General features: G+C 38.6%; 1 protein-coding gene across 2 annotated transcripts in view; it reads right to left on the minus strand.

Moving 5' to 3' along the window:
• The window catches only part of EDIL3 (EGF like repeats and discoidin domains 3), a 444327-nt gene that overhangs the window by 224973 nt on the left and 200961 nt on the right, over positions 1 to 18393 (minus strand). For both annotated transcript variants that reach the window (NM_005711.5, NM_001278642.1), the window contains one exon: positions 14867 to 14995. In NM_005711.5, the coding sequence (NP_005702.3) occupies positions 14867 to 14995 (129 nt within the window). The remainder of the gene's footprint in view (positions 1 to 14866; positions 14996 to 18393) is intronic.

The raw sequence follows: 18393 nt of genomic DNA on the forward strand, positions 1-18393 counted from the left end.
TAGGCTGTGAGAATGTAGCATTAAGGCATACACAACTGGGAAATAGTAGCTGACAATGGACTAAAGGTATGAGAAGCAAAGTGACTCCAACAAAAACAGTGTGCTCACTGTAAACAACAAATAATGACAAAACCTCCAGCAGCAAGAGAGGCAAATGGCTCTCTCGATAATCTTGATGGAAAGCACTGTTCACGGCTCCTTCATCTTTTAGACAAAGGATGGCACCACGTGCAAGGTAACATTAACATAATCACTATTTGTGGGGACAATTCTAAGTGCTGAATAAGTGCTTGTAGACAGTTATGCATGGGTGGCTGTTCCTTCTACTGTATATTTGTATTAAAACATGTATATGTGCAAATGCAACAGAACCCTGCATTAAACTTCAATTCCACCCACCCTTGCCTCCTACATATTTATCAATCATTTAACAATAACCCTTTCATCTTTTCTTGCTTCTGCCTCACTTTGTTTCCATCTGCCCTCTCTCCTTTGCATACTAAACTCTCCATTTTGAAATTTCCATGCCACTGTCACTCCTCTGTCTTCCAAGTGATTGATTTAAACAATCTTAAAAAGCTTTAAAAATTATCTAACAATTATTTGTTTAGCAATCTTTATATACTACATGGCTCCTCATATTCACCAAAAATCTAATAAACACTGACAATCTGACAATCTCCAAAAGGAGGAGATGAGGTACCGTGTTCCTCAACTTATTTGGCCATGGGCCTCTTGTTAGAGGAAGTATTATTTTTCTTCACATTAATTTTATAAGCTCTTAAAGACACATACTATTTAAGAGTTTTTGTTTGTTTGTTTGTTCTCCCTTGTTGTTCTCCCTTGTTTTGTTTGTTTGTTTGTCTTTTTCAAAGCCCAATATCATGGGAGATAGACTGCTATTAGACAATACATTAAATGATTCATTGGTTAACACACCAAGGCTCATTCATTCATTTGTTTACTTAACAAATATTTATCAAGCACCTATGATGAGCTAGGCACTTTTTAGGCACAGCAAATTACAGCAAAATGTAAACAAATCAAGTCCTTGCTCTAGAAAAGATGCTTACTCTCTAAAGAGAAGAAAAATATTAAAACATAAATATAAAATGTGGCAGATGGTGATGAGTGCTAAGAAAATAAAGATGAGTAAAAGAGAGGAACAGCAAAGAGATGGTGGAGGAAGATGTTAAAGAATGCTGTTGTCTTCGGGTTAGTTGGAGGAAGCCACTCTGGAAAATTCTTACTTGAGCTAAGATCTAAGAAGAAAAGGAAAGGGAGCAAGAATCATGGTTATCTAGCAAAGAGGAGGCCAGGTAAATGATCACAATGCAAAGGCCCCAGACTGGAAGCTGGACTGACACATCTGAGGTCAGCAGAGAACTGTGTGGCCAAAGTAGAATCAGCAAGGTGGAGTATAGTTGGATATAAGATCAAGAGAGACGAACAGGAACGGGGCATGCCAGGTTATTTTTGTTCACTATAAAGACTTTAGATTCTGCTTGAAGTGAACTATGAAACCATGGGAGATTTTAAACACAGAAATGACTTATTACTACGTATATTTGAAGGTATCGGTCTGGATTTTTTTTGAGAATAAATTGGGAGCAAGTGTAGAGTCAGCAAAATCATTAGGAGCACGTCATAGTGCATAATGCTGCCTTAGGAAGAAGTGAAGGTGGTAAGAGGTGATTAAAATCTGAATGTGTTCTTAAACTAATCTCAGAGCATGCAGGAGACATTGAGTATAGATAACTCTTCTAAGGAGTTTGATTGGAAAGTGTAGAACCAGAACAATAGCGTTCATGAGTTTGCCCCTTCCTTTCCTCAGACTCCCACACCTCTCCTCTCTCTCCCCTTCTTTTCCTCCTTCTCTCCCTGCTTCTCACCTCACATACTGAGAAGGTGTACACTCTCAATTATAAGATGTTACTTTTTAAATTGAGGCACCTGGTGTTTCAATCCTCTCTACTGCCTAATTTAGCACAGATAAAATCAGTATCTATTTCTGTTTTATTTTAGTACCGATTTCTTTTACTATGATGAAAGAATAAGTATTCTGAAAACCAATAATACCAAGAATGATAGTTTATCAGCATACAGAACATTTAATTGTACAAAACACTATCACATATACTAAATTGACAGGGCATCACCAAGTGGGATCTGAGAATAGGCAAGTGGCCCAGTTATTTCTATTCTAAAACCAAGGAAACCAAGACCTGTTATTATCATTACTTAAAGTTGATATGACTTGTTAAGAGTATAGAAGGAATGGAAGTTTAAGTCTTTTCTACATTTAAATTCTCAGCTCTTTCAACAACCATGCTGTCATTATCCAAATAAACTGCACTCATTTTATTTAGAAAAAGTCAGAAACAATTCCTTTACTTATCAACCAAAAAAGCATTTTCAGATCAAGGAGAGAATAATTCTCATTTGGAAATATTTCAATTTAAGATATATCATATAAAATGATTAAAATCTCCTGAATATCTAAGTCTGCTTATTTCCAAACGATGCATTGCCTTAAATTTCTCTAAACTTCTAGGCTATGGCATAATTGCAAAATAAATTAAAATGTTGAGAGCAAAATCAATCATTCTAAAGGCTGACATTAGTAAATATCCACTCTATGCAACTGTGATTTCCAGATTTCCTATTCAAATGTAAATGATGTTCTATTTTTTAAAATCATTGTTGTATTTTAGCATGTAATTATTAGTCTTGATTTACATACTTCTGTTATGTTTTCTTTAAAATATACTGCATTACACTATCATGACACATAACACACAATATATCTAAAGACAACCAATTTTATGGGTCTTTTAAAAATATCAAAAATTAAAAATTCAACATCCTAAATAGCATTGAATATATTTAAGACCTTCCTTGTACCTGTACATACCTATATATGTATGAACATATACATTATTTCTCTTTAAATTTCTAGATTCTATCTTAATGATGCTGTTGAAAGATAGAAAGAGTGGCAATCACAATGCATACTTGAAATCATAAGAACAGTATATTACGCTGCCCACATCTATAGTAAAAAGTGAGGTAAAAAGAGAAATAATTATAATGCTACTGAAATTAACAAAAATATCCCATAAATATTTATGATGCTGGTCGTAATTGACTTCAAACTATTTTTCATATACGAACATTGTTCAACTCCTCCCAAGTGTTCATTACTACCTTGGTCCAAGCCACCATCACCTCCCAGGTGGTTGCAAGGTTCCACGCTTACCCCCACCTGAACCTATTCTTTGCCATCTGCCAGAATCATTCTCCAAATAGAAATTAGTTCATTTACTCCCTTGCTGTCCACCTTCCAAAAGTGTGCTTCCACAATTACAATTACACAACTACAATAAAACTAAAAGTCCTCTCTATGGCTTACACGTCCTTGACTATTGCTCAGGTCCTCTTTCTGCCCACTCTCTTAATCACTCACCATGCTCCAGACACATACCCATCTTAGGATTCAATACTTGCTAATCCTTGTGATTCACATACTTGACCCCCTGACTTCATTCACATCTCTGCTTGTTACTTGGTAGGAGCAAGCTTCTTTGGCTAAGCTCTAAAACAGCACTCACGCCCCTTTGTTCCATAATCTCCATTCTTACAAAACATAACAAAACTTGTTATTATGCATTGTGGTGCTGTTATTTCTGATTGAAATTTTAGTTGAGATAATTATAGATTCATATCCATTTGAAAAACTATAATACAAAGAAATACCATATATATTTTAATCAGTTATCCTCAATGGTTAACATTTTACAAACTACAGTATAAAAACAGAACCAAAATATTGACATTACTATGATAGTCCAATCTTATTCAGATTTCTCCAGTTTTACTTATATTGATATGTGTATGTAATTAGGCTCTATAGAATTTTATCACATATGTAGGTTTCTGTATGTGTCATCACAGTCAATATACGAAATGGTTCAAACACAAGGACACCTCATGTTGCCCTTTTATAACCACACTCACTTCCCTCTGTCCCTAACATCTGGAAACCACTAATCTATCCTCCATTTCTAAAACTTTGTCATTTCAAAAATGTAATTAAATGGGTCATCTAGTATGTATTCTCTTGGGATTGGCTTTTTTTTTTCACTCAGCTTAATTTCCTGGAGATTTATCTAAGTTGTTGTATGTATCAATAGGTCCTTCCTTTGCATTGCTGAGTAGCAATTCCATGGTATGTATGTACCACAGTTTGTTTAACCATTTGCCTGTTGAAGGACATCTGTGCAATTCTAGATTTCAGGCATTACAAATAAAGCTGCTATGAGTATCCAGGTACAGGTATTTGTGTGAACTTTAACTTTTTACTTATCTGGGATAAATGCCCAAGAGTGTAATTGCTGGACTGTATGGTAATGCCTGTGTCACATTTTCATCATCTTTTTCTCCATTAATGAAGTTCTATGACAGCAGAGACTTGGTTATTTTGGTTCAGTGCTATATTCCACTATCCAGATTAGTGCTTTGCACTGAGTAGGGAGTTAATAATATATTTGTTGTATAAGTGAGCTTCAGATCCTCATGAAAATTTATTCTCTTGTTTATAGCTGCCTTTACAGGAGAAATGATATTGCAAAATGGTTTCTTGGGAAAGACAGTAGAGAGGAGAATAAGAGAGGTGTGGCCATAGCATCTGTCTCCAAATAGCCTGAGATATCTGAACCCTGAATGAAAGAGAAGTTAAGGAAGAAAGGCTGAGCAACGGTGTTCACAAAAAGATTTGTAAGGTTCTGGGAAAAGACACATGTCTTTCCAACTCCCAAGAACATAGTAAGACCCAATGCCATTAAAACGGCTAGGCTTGACCTTGACCTTAGACCATGTGCAGTTTCAGTTGGCTAGGTGACCATTAGCAGAGAACGGAGTAGTCTTCCCTTATCACTATGTTCAAGGTCAGAACAACAGCAGTGGTATTCTGAAAAATAGTAAGTAAGCTCTCATTAAATATTTATCAAATGGATAAATAAATAAGTTATTTCCTCACATGGCTGGGGAAGACTTTAGGGGAGAATGAAATCCTACCTAAGCAACTTACTTGGAAGATGATAACTAAGAGCAACAGTAATTTAGAAATCAGTATCACCTTTGGCTACAAGGCCTAGGAAATTTGAATTACATGCAATTTTTTAAAAACTGCATTTGTAATACTATTTCTATTTCTGGGAACAATCTTTATAAAATTATGAATCGGTTCTATTTTATTTTATTTTAATTAATTAATTTATTTATTTACAGACAGAGTCTTGTTTTGTTGCCCGGGCTGGAGTGCAGGGGTGTGATCTCGGCTCACTGCAACCTCCACCTCCCGGGTTCAAGCAATTCTCCTGCCTCAGCCTCCAGAGTAGATGGGATTACAGGTGCCCACTACCATGGCTGGTTAATTTTTGTATTTTGAGGAGAGATGGAGTTTCACCATGTTGGCCAGTCTGGTCTCGAACTCCTGGCCTCAGGTGACCTGTCTGCCTCAGCCTCCCAAAGTGCTGGGATTATAGCTGTGAGCCACCGCACCTGGCTGAATCAGTTCTAGAAGTTCAGGCCTATTAATATAAATATACTACCTTCATGAGTATAATCTTCTGGCAAAATGCATCTAACATTTTTGTTCAGAGATTATTGTTTTTCTGGCAATCATATTAAAAAAATAAAGAATAGAAAAGAAAAAAATGTTTTACTGTTAATCTAAAGTAGCAATTTTCAACTATTTTGGACTTTATACATATCTGAGTATCACAAAAATCACAAACTTTGTGTCTATATTGGAATAGTGTCTTTGTGCAAATAGCTATTATATATGTCTGCCATGACAGTGGTCTTTGTTGGTTTCCAGCCAAAGGAGAAAAACAAGAAAATAAAAATGCCTTGGAACTCTGGCTCCTATAGATAGGTTATGGGCTAAAAGTTGTTGCAGGGGGTGGATCCGATTAAGTGAGGGTCAGATTTTAAGAGCAGTAAGCTAATATATTTTTCTGCCCTGATTCTTTTAATCATTTTGGGGTTCTTGTTATAAGACAATTTCCATTATCGTAAACAAAGTTTGAATTCAATAAGGTTGTGCGATTACACATTCAGTGTGGGATTATAATAACCTATCCCAAGCTTGGTTTCTCTTTGACTATTTCTGTGCTTAGTTTCTTTAAGGCATTATAACCCTTCACATATGGTTCTAGAACACTGATTTTCAGTCTTAGTTGTACATTAGAATTATCTGGGGAGGTTTTGAAACTCCTAATGCCTATGCCATACTCCAGATAAATTAAGTCAGAATCTCTGGGGTGAGAGCCAGGCATTGGTATTTTTTATAATGCCCCAGGTGACTCTAATGTGTAGCCAAGATTGAAAACCAGAGTTCCAGACCCATTTGCATCACTTTCATTGGGGTCCTTATTAAATAATCAGACATGGCTCCAAAACTATTAACTTCAAATCTCTATGGATTGGCAAGAGGAATCTGTATACTTATCTGGACCCCACATGATTCATATGCACAGCAAGTGTGAGATCCCTTAGTTTACAGAGTTAAGGTGTCTCACACTGACCGGCAAAGCCATTGGAAAGCAGGAAAATTTCTCGATTCTAGTCTGAAAATCTTCTAGGGTTGGAGACAAGTCCATTTTGGAAGTTTCTTTGGAGGTCTTTATTTCACCAATATTTTTATATAGTTTGCAAGTGTCAGTAATAACTTCAGGTAAAAATTTACGCAGTTTTTGAAGTGAATTCTTGGCCTGGCATGGTCATTCATACCTGTAATCCCAGCATGTTGGGAGGCCAAGGTGGGGGAATTGCTTGAGCCCAGGATCTCAAGACCAGCCTGAGCAACATGACGAAACTCTGACTATATAAAAAATACAAAAATTAGCTCAGCATGGTGGCATGCCTATGGTCCCAGCTACTTGGGAGGCTGAGGTGGGAAGATCATTTGAGCCCAGGAGATGAAGGTTGCAGTGAGCCAGGATTGCACACCACTGCACTCCAGACTGGGTGACAGAGTGAGACCTTGTCTCAAAAAAACAAAACAACAACAACAACAACAAAAAAATAAAAATAAAAGAAAAAGAGGAAAGAATGAGGTGAATTCTTTATTAGGGAATATTGGTTTTCTAGTGGAAAAGTATACTGTACAACCACCAGTACTGTACACCAGGTATTTGGTAGATACACCTGATAGCAATAACTTAAGCATACCCTGAGAATGACTCTGCATGGCACATGCACCCAACAACAATGATAAGCTAAGTAGAGGTTGCCAGGTAGAGGGCATTAAGTGAAAAACGCTATATTAACTGCATGCTTTCTGCAGGCAGTGGTGGCTCTCCTGTCCAGCCTACTGCCACTGGGCAGCTCTGTATGTAATTCCCCCTTGATAAACCCTGTCTCCTTTGCTGGCTCTGGGTCTGCTCTTCAGCCTCTCAAACCTAGTGCCATCCCTACTGAAGTAAACAGAGGTCCAGCATGACAACAGGAGGTCAGAGAAAACTCCATGAGTGCCCAGAAGATAGGATCTGAGAAGGAGAAATCTGCGAGATAAATCCTAGGCTGGCCATGCATGTCTGTGTGGGGCCTGGTAGCTGTTATACTTGATGGATGGGGCCCACCACATGAGTATGGAGGTGCCTTGAAAACACTGAGTGGTCTGGAAGAGTTGTTGCAGGGGGTGGATCTGACTGAGTGAGGGTCAGATGCCTGAGCTGTGGGAGCCACAGTTGGTGGGCGGCTTCTGACCCTGCTCCAAGCAGCCATAGAGGCTGAGCTCATGGTGCAAGTGAGGGTCTGCCAGTTGCAGGACGAGCTGTGACTACAAAGAGGTGCCAGACAAAATGGAGACCCTGGCTTTTCAGGTAGCCTGTATGAAGAGTCACCAACTCCCCTGCACCCACTGGAAGCAGACTCGCACGACTGCCCCCCTCTCCCGCCCCCTGGAAGACAGCAGCGCACCACAATATGGGACGACCCCACTGTAGAATTGGTGGAGCTAAAAACAGGTTAGGACAGAAGGGTAGAGAGTCAATCATGGGGTGGCTTCTCCATCTGTGGAACATGCAGGCAGAGGCTATTATACTCTCCAGACTTGAGATGAGTAAAATGGCAAAATGGCATCCATCACAAACCACCCGGCCTGGAAGCAGCACCTCTGTGGTGCCAGTAATGGAGACGGGGCCATCCCCCTCCTCAGCTGGGTGAGTGTTGCTGCAAGATAGCCAGGCCAAGTGAGGGAGATGTCCCCACGTGGCCTTTGTGATGACAGACTATGGAGGGATTGCAGGGCACTCCTCCGGGAATTAGGAGTGAAGCATGCTATCTATGCTGAGCATTGCCAAGGTCCCAGCAATGAACTTTTCTTGCTGGCATGAAAGACGCCATCTAAGAGTCCCTGCCAAACCAAAGGTATGGTGCACTCGTCTGTGCGTGGGGTTGTGAGGGGGTGGTGGTGCACTGCTGGGATGAAAGACAAAGGAGCCAAAGGAAAGGAGACAGATGAGGGGCCCATCAGGGTGGCCTGCTGAAGACATGGCATGGCATGCTAGCAGGAATGCCTACTGTGAGGGTGGAGACAACCTGATGCTGTCTTGGTCAGGCTATGGCAGAAGCTCAAGCCAGAACAAAGTTTCATTAAAGAGCCTCAGGCTCAGTTCACTGCCTCTCCTGCAGAGAGATGGCAAGGGCAGGCACTTTTAGACCTGGATGAAGGCCAAGGCTTCAAAATTCTGATGGGAGCAATGGTGGCCAGGGTGTCTGAGGACAGAGGCCATATGTAGAACTAACTATATATTGGACAAATAAGAATAGGCTGTGCTTGCCCTAGTGGATACTAGAGTGGAATACACTCTCATATATGGTAACATTCATCAGTTCAAAGGGCCTATAACAACAATAGATGGTTATGGAATGGAGGGGGTACCTATTTTCCATTGCATTAATGATATGCTGGTTTCTAAGTCTTTTTCCAGCCTGGAGGCTGCAGCCCCCACCTTGTTGTCCCACTAGGCAAATGGAGGATGGATGGTTGATGCAGAGAGGGTCCAAGGTTCAAGCGTTTTGGTCAGGTGCTTGGGTGTCATCTGGTTAGATGTTAGGCAGAGAACCTCTTCACTGACTGGGCGCAGACTGTGGCCTCTCTCTAGAACAAGACGGACTGTTGGGTCTATGGAGAGCTGCTGCTTTCCACCATGGGCCTGCCGTGGCATGTACAGGATCAACTCCCAAGTGCTTGGAAGAACAATCTTTGCAGAGTGATTGTTATTTGTTTTTTGTTGTAGTTTTTAGTGCTGCTGCCACATCTGGCAGCAATGCTCCTCTGCATACCTGGCCCTGGGGAAATCACGGAAGAATGATACGATAAAAATGTTAGGGCCATTCAAGGAGATTCTGAGCTGAGGTGTATGGTAAATCCACCTGATAGCAATAACGTCTTAAGCTAGGTGGAGACTGCCAGGTGGAGGGTGTTAAGTGAAAATGCTATTTAAACTGCATGCTTTCTGTAGGCGGTGGCAGTTCTGTCCAGCCCGCTGCTACTGGACCACACTGTATGTAACCTCCACTTCAATAAACCCCATGTCTCATTGCCTGGTTCTGGGTCTCTTTGGCCTCTCGAACCTTGTGCCATCCCCACTGACATTAATAGCAATCCAACACAACAAAAAGCTAAAAGAAGCCATCAAGTTAAAATTATAAAGAGTAACTTAAAGTAAGAATTAATGATAAGAGGAATTCTAGAAAAGTATGGAGCTACATAGTGAGCCTTAGCCTCCCCCTGCCTTACTACACAAAATGTTTCCTAAAAAATTATAATTGTTTTTAAAGGAAGGGAAAAAAATAAAGACCCATAGCAATCCCCATTATATTTTAAAGTATTAGTCCATTAGGCATACCTAACTTTTTAAAGTTTGTAAAGTATGTCCTGAAACGCCTCATCTGATCTTAACACACATCTGTTTAGAGAAGCAGGACAAAGGATTGTTAATCACAGTTTTTAAAGAAGTGTTATTTCCACACTCAACAGTGTCAAGGTCTCAGTGCTTGTTGAAGTGAACTGAATTACTGGATGAGAAACCTTAGGCACAGATCCATTAAATGCCGAATGACGCTTCATCAACTTACCAAGATAGAGTTGTATCAGAAACTCAGGTCCAACCAGAATTCCTCCCCTCACAGCATGGTTCCTCCAGTATCATTTGGTGATTGAAGGTAGTGGTCATTCCTTAAGTCAGTAATCCTCAAGTTTGGTGTACTGAAGGATCATATGGATGTTTTTAACTAAATTCAGGCTACCAAGCAAAAATTCTGATTCAACAGGGCTGAAGTGGGGCCAGTAATCTACATGTTTAACAAGTGTAACATAGAAGACAAAGCACGTAATTGCCAAATATGTGATTAATGCAATTAAGAATGATCATGAAAACAGCAAATATCATTGACTAACTTTGAGAAAAGTGAAATATGGAAGTTACAAAAGTGATTCATGACCCCAATAAATATTGGTTAAATGTAGGACTGCATTAATCACTAATATACAATTAAGACCAAACTGACTTAAAGTAGTTAGAATATACAAAGAGGGAAGTTTTTGATTGTTTTTTTCTGGCCAACTTTCTCAGTGGTAAAAAATATATATATATATATAATATATATATATATATATATATATATATAATATATTGTATGTATAATATATTGTATATATATTATATATATTGTATAAAATATATTATATATAAAATATATTTCCATATATATATAATATATATATATTAGGGAGCCTTTTATCTTGAGCTAATGTGATAACATGGGCCACTTCTCCTAAACTGTCCTGTTTCTTTCCAGGCTCAGTGGGCTCCCAGATCAGCCCTCTTTTCTTGAAAAGTAGGAAAGAAGAAAATGTGCTCTTAAAAGGAATCAAAGGCTCTGGAGCTGTGCACAGGTAGAGAAGAATGTACAGAATGCCTTCTGTGGGAAGATGGGAAGGAGTTCTGGGAGTGAAGAAATAACCTTTCTCTATGGCATTACATTTGTTACCAGGCAATACATAAAATACAATTACTCTAGCCAGTCCCAAATGCAGCTGTCAGCACAAAACTGCTTGCTTAAAAATGCTTTTCAAAAGTTTGACCTGTAGACAATTTTGGTGCTCAATTCATTCTATAATTTACACACACAGAGGTGTGTGTATGTGTGTATATATGTGTGTGTGTGTGTGCCTGTGTGTGAGCGCATGCGTGTGTTTCACATTCTTCTATGATATATATATATATAAAATTTGATAATTCTATACCAAATCCAATACTAATCATTATTCTTATAAAGTTATAACCTCATGCTACTTTCATTACCATAAAAAGGACATCTAATAGCTGAAATCCAAAACACAACGAGTGCTGGTAAGGATGTAGAACACAGGGACTCTCATGCATTGCTGCTAAGGATACAAAACAGCCATGTTGGAGACCTTTTGAAGCTTCTTTTACAAAACTGAATGTACTTTTACCATAAGATCTAGAAATTGCACTACTAGGTATTTGCCCAAATGAGCTGAAAACTTATGTCCACACAAAAACCTGCCATGAATGTCTATAGCAGCTTTATTTATAATTGCCCAAAACTAGAGGCAACCAAGATACTCTTCAAATGCCAAATTTATAAACAAACTATGGTACATCCATAAAATGGATTATTACTCAGAGGTAAAAGTAAATAAACTATTAAGTCCTAAAAACACACGGAGGAACCTTAAATACATTGATAAGTGAAAAAAAATCAGTCTTAAAAGGCTACATACTATGTGATTTCAATTACATGACATTCTGGAAAAGGAAAAACTACAGAGACAGTAAAAAGATCCGTGGCAAAGGTTGAGAGAAGTAGGAAAGGATAAATAGGTGTACAGGGGATTTTTAGTTTAGCGAATCTGTTCTATATGATACTGTGACAGTACATACATGATATTATACATTTTTCAAATCCCACAGAACTATACAATACAAAGAGTGAACTCTAAACTACGGACTTTGGTAATAAGGTAACAGTATTGGTTCATCAATTATAACAAATGTATCACAGCAATGAGATATGTTAATAAGAGAAATTATGTAGGAGGAGGGATATATGGGACTCTGTACTTTCTGCTTGATTTTTTGGTAAACCTAAAACTGCTGTAAAAATTAAGTCTATTAATGATAAAACCCCAAAAACATTTTAAAAAGCATATGGAGGTAATAATGCCGATGCTGGAAATAATTTTTCCAATTTGTCACATATTGATAAAATAGTTGTTAAAATAGACCTATTAACTATATATTTGTCACTCCTGTATCATGAAATTTAAAGTTCTTTAAATGTCTAGCTATTTTCCAAAAGACATTTAGTTAACATTCTGTCATATAGGACAAAATTTAAAAGTCCCCCAATATAGCTGTCTGAAAAATTGTTTAATTTTCTTTTTCCAAATGAAATGTTCACGCCATATTTGTACAACTCTCATTTTTATTGATTTTCAGTATAGTTTTGATTTTCACAAACCTTAAATATTTTGCCTATATTTATTATTATGTAACTGAACGTGATAGTTGCTAAGCTATGAAATTATCACTTTTGGCTATTCAAAGCCTTATGTAGTATTTCTCAAATTTCAGTGTATATGAGAGTCAACTGGGAATTATTTTAAAATACAGATTCTGATTCAGTTGATTTCAGGTGATGCCTGTTTATCTGCATTTCTAATAAACTTCCTGAAGATCCTGATGCACGAGCACATTTGAGTAGCAAGGTTCTAAATATCTAGGTCATAAAACTATTACCACCATGAAAAACAAACCCAGATACCTAGCAATCCTTGCAAGAGTTTAAAGAGCTCTTTTTCTGTTTTTCCTAGCTGAAGAAGCTTCCAGGGCCCCTAGCACTTCTATAGCTGCTTTCTCAATATATCACCCTTTTCAATTTCATCTATAAAGAGGACAGCTTGCTAACCTTTGTACAGTGAGTAAGCTATCCATTTATTCATAATACTCATGGCTTATATGAACCAAAGACCATCTATTTCCAGTTCAATTATCCAATTTGTACGTCTAAAAATCACAGAGAGATCAAATGACTGACTCAGGGTCACTTATTTAATAACTGTAAAGGTCAGGTCTCAAATCTGGGTTTCTGCTTCCAAATCCAGTCCTTTTTCCTCTGTTTTCTGTTGCTTCTAATAATGCAATGCAGAAAATAGGGACTAGGTGGTTTAGACAACAAAATCCAAGTTCCCACTGCAATTCCCACTGCAATTCCTAACATGGGTTTAAAATCTTGTTGTGGGGGTGGTCAGATGTATTAAGGGGAAAGATTTCTTTGTGCTTTGAAATGTCTTGAAATTCAACAAAATTATATTAATTTATAAGCTTGTCTGAATATAGTATGAAGCTATATTTTATATATTGTTTGAACAGAGTATGAAGCTATAGTTTGAATATAGTATTTATAAGCTTGTTTGAATATAGTATGAAGCTATGAGAGAAAAGACTTGGGGTGGCCAGTCTGTTTCCCTCTGGGCACTGCCTCTGATGCCACATCACAGGGTAAGTAAGGGTAAGTAACATGGTCTTCATGGGATTAAGTGAACATCAAGGCTCCTGAGATTCTGGGCTCCTATCTTTATCTTTCCAGGGCTGTTTTGAAGTGTCCATGTGTGAAGGCTGAGCAGTGATGCTAGCTAGCATCAGGGAGACCTAGCCTTGGCACCTCTGGGCCCAACCTGAGAAAAATCAATAGCTTTTCATTGCTTTGTTGGTGATCTGAGCTTTTAGGGACAATTCCAAGTAGTTTAGATGCCCGTTGTACAAAGCACACACGCCCATGCACTACAATAGGTTTCTACGGAAATTCTACAAACTTCTGGCCATGGCATGTCTCCAGAAAAGTACAAGATGCTCCCAAAGTCACAGAGCCTGAAGGCACTCTGTTTTTTGCTGGTGCTTGGATACAGCTCTCGCTGACAAATCCAGCTTTGCCTTATCGTTCTTAATACCATTGTCTTACCCATCAATACAGTAATCATGGCTTGCCTATTCCTTCCCCACTCTTCCTACTATGTGTCATTCCCCTGTCTCTGATCAACATTCTGTCCCTCCTTCAAGACTCAGCTTGCATGTGGCAACCTCTGTGAGAATCTCCCTGACAGCTTAGAGTTGGCTGTGGCCCCTCTGCTTGCTGAACACCTACAGTGCTAAGGCACCACACCATTCCTTTGACATTTATGTTCACCCCTCCTTCTAAGAAGAAATCATCACTAGTGGGATCTACTTTCTTTAACCTTCCAAGATAAATAAGAATTGGGATTTAAAAAAGAAGTGCAGGTAGCATACTTATTGAGCTTTCAAAGATTTTCACACTAAAAATGCCAACATGTAAGAAGGAGAAAACTGGCTTAAGGGCAGGGTGGCAGTTTTGTGTTTTGTTTTTTTTTTTCTGGGTATCATCTCTGAACCTAATCACCAGAGTAATTTTTGGAAAACTTAAAGGATGTGGCTTTAGGACAAATATGAAAGAGACAGATATCAGTTTAATGTAAAGTGCATCTTTTGGCAAGGATAGTGGGGCAATAATAAAAAGGGATGACCAGAAGACTACAAACTTCCCATGCCACTGGGAGGATTGAAACACAGTCTAGGAGTCCTCCACTGTGGACATGGTGTATTCCATGGGAGAGAAGCAGCATTAGCCAAAGCCAGGGCTCTCTTCTGCTCTCAGATTCTATGATTCTACTACAAACAAGAATGATGATGGCTTGTATACTTTGTAATCAATAATAATAAAAGTACAATGACTATGAATAACTTACTGTGCTGACAGTGAATCCCATTAAATCCTCGGGGACATTTACAAACATAGCCTATGAATGTATCCCCTCGGTATGCTTCACTTATTTCACAGGTTCCTCCATTATGGCATGGATTAGGAGTGCAGGGACCTGAAAGACAGAAAAAAATATTTCTGCTTGATGCATATTCTTAAAAGTAGACATTAGGTCAACATTTTGCAATTAATAATTTTACAGAAAAAAGTGTTCTAGATATTAGTGGCATAGTAAATGTACTGGTTGTATGAGCTCTGGAGACTAATGGCCTGGGTTTGAATCTTGGTTTCACCACTTCACAGGCGTGCAGTCTTGAGAGATTTACTTACCTTCTCCATGCCTGTTTCCTTTTCTGTTAAATGTCAATACTAAAAAATTTGCCTTAAGAGGTTATAATACAGATGAAAAGAGTTCATACATATAAAATACCCAGAACAGTGTCTGTCACATGTAAAGTACTCAAAAAATTATTAGCATTAAATTAGATATTATTAAAATTTCTGAATTGTAGAATACCTTCTGGGTGTTTAAAAAGTAATATTGAATAGCAATTTCTGGAGTTGTATTCACAACTCCACAATTTTTGTCCCCTGCTGGTACAAGCAGCATATGGCTGTAACCACATAAACCAAGTGAATTGGATAGCTGGCTGCAAAGCTTTTATAGAGTATGAGTTTATGGTGGAGCATACCTCTGGGGAAGCACATTTTCTGCCAATCTAAAACGAGCAGTCCGTCAAAAGTTGCATACTTAGAGAAGAGGGGCTGATGGTCATTTTTAAACTTGAGAAAGTAACAGCAGATTATTTAGTACCTGTGGCTGCTAATGAAAGTGTGGTGCTGCTCAGAGCTCTCTTGGAGAAAACCAGCTGCCAGGAGTGTGGTTAGCTGACAACATTCAGCTACTGAACCACAGGATCTGCTGTGGCAGCATTTATTTTAAGGCCAGGCTCCCCAGCCAAAAACTAAATACCAAAGGGGCATAGAGCTAGCTGGGCCAGTCGTGCCTGACCTGAGACTTCTCTAATAAACATTCTGTACTCTGAGGTGCCCCAATGGTGTGGCTGAGATTTTTCTTAAAACCATAGCAGTTTGAGACTTTTTCTATGCCATGTTCTCTCCTTCCTTTTCTCCCTTCAAAGTGACAGGCTATGTCACGGTCTGTAGGCTCATCCTATCTACTCTTGCTCTCTCTCCCCTTTGTGCATCACAGACATTCCCCCCAAAAATCTTTTACACTTTTAATTCTATCTTACAGTCTTCTTCCTGCAGGATGTTAATTGACTCAGGACAGAATCCAGACTTGAGATTGTGAAGAAGGGAAGAGTCAAGTTGAAGGAAGGAAAAGCTCTCCCTGGGAGATGAAAAAAGACAAAAACAAAAAACTACAGTTTTCTCTAATTTAGTCTGTACTGATTTTAATTGGAGAGAGTAGAACATATTTATAAGGAAAAGAAAAGCCACTGAAGAGGAAGTTAAGATGTACATATTAGAAAAGGAAAGCAAGGGTAATTAAACTAAGTATCTGACTGTGTATGAAGAGGTGATTTTGAGAGCCCTAGAGGATTTGTTCAGAAAAGGAGTGAGTGTGTTCAGCTGAAACAAGAAGCAAGGTAGAAGAGCTGGACAAATGAATAATAATAACTTGAGTCAACTGGGTTGGGGCAAGGGTATTGAACAGAGAGTGCTATAGAGAATGACTCCTCCTGCATGGGTCAAAGCCACTAATAAAAACAAGAGCTGAACGAGGTGGTGCACGCCTGTAATCCCAGCACTTTCAGAGGCTGAGGCGGGCAGATTGCTTGAGCCCAGGAGTTCGAGACAAGCCTGGGCAACATGGTGAAACTCCACTTCTACAAAAAATACACACACACACACACACACACACACACACACACACAAATCCAGGCATGCTGGTGTGCACCTGTAGTCCCAGCTACTTAGGAGGCTGAGGTGGGAGAATTGCTTGAGCCTAGGAGGTTGAGGCTGCAGTGAGTTAAGATCACACCACTGCATGCCAGCCTGTGTGACAGAATGAGACCCTGTCTCAAAAAACTAAACTTTAAAAAAAACAAACAAACAAACTTGTGAATAGGAAAAAAAAAATCACCAGCATCACTTCAAGCACTGCAATCGGACCTCAACCATGGGTGGGAAGCACTTAGAAGGTGGGCAACTTTGTCATGCACTGGGGCAAGATTTTATGAATCTATTTCTTCTTCTGAGAGCTGTATTTGACCCTCCATTTTTTTCCATTTAAAATGTTATGAAATTCAACGGTTGTGGAGTCTAACAAAGAAACACATGGAACAGGAAACAATGTGGCAACTGTACAGTTCCCGGACCTTGACTTCCCGATAGGACTGATTTTCAAAAAGTAAAAAGGATTCAGGGGCTCTGTGATTTTTTTTTTTTGTCAGCACCACACCAATTAAAAACAATATATTTATTTAAGTAGACAGTTTTGTGCTGTGAAGCACATATCAATTAAATTATCTAACACCTGCCTTCGAGGTGGTACATTGCCAATATTTGAGACAGGAAAGAAGGTGAATGACCAATGACTAGTTATAGAACAATTTGAACCATTTTCTTTCATTGCTACAAAATGAAAATCATGCTGCAGAACCTATCTCTCCTTCTCCTCTCTCTGTTTCCACTTCCTCCCTCCTCACAAATTAATTAACATTTGATAGTGCCTTACAATTTATAAACTCTTTTCACATAAATCATCTCATTTATTCTTTACTATAACTTAGGTCTTCGTCATTATCATTCTCTTTTACAGTTTTTTTTTAAATACTGAAGGTCAGAAAGATTATATAATATTTCTCAATCAATATCTACCAGTGACAGATTGAGGCCTCAGACTAAGAATCTGGGATTCTAAAACCTATACCCCTCAGAGCATCAACTAACTGGGGAGGGGAGAATGAAATGATAGTGATGTTAGAGTTTTGACTCATCAATTCACTTCAAATGAGAGTAAAAATGATAGATTTTGAAACTAACTGATAACTGACAGCCAAGCACATAACCGCTAAAGAAAAAAATATATAAATAATTACAGTCAAAAATTATATAATTTTAAGCAAATAAGAGTCCTTGGAGATCACTTAATCCAACTTTCCAGTTTTGCAGGTGAGGAAAAAAACCAAATACGAATTCAGAAATGTTCCCTAGAAACAACTTAATATGAGAAAAATTAGGTTTAAGGACTTGTTCCTAGGAGGAAAAATAGTTATTTAAACCAAAACTGGTAAGAAATTACCGAAGAGAGTGGAGTAATTTATATCACAGAGAAAATAAGTCTTCCATGCTCCTTCACACTTACAGGGTTGGACGAGGGAGGAATAGAAAATGACTGAAACAGTAAGTCCTCTGCGAGTTCTTGAGAGCAGTTAAAACAGTGATTCTGGGCAGGTGCGGTGGCTCACGCCTGTAATCCCAGCATCTTGGGAGGCAGAGGTGGGTGGATAACCTGAGGTCAAGGAGTTCAAGACAAGCCTGACC

Source organism: Homo sapiens, chromosome 5, assembly GCF_000001405.40.
Source record: "Homo sapiens chromosome 5, GRCh38.p14 Primary Assembly".
NCBI classification, from domain to species: Eukaryota; Metazoa; Chordata; class Mammalia; order Primates; family Hominidae; genus Homo; species Homo sapiens.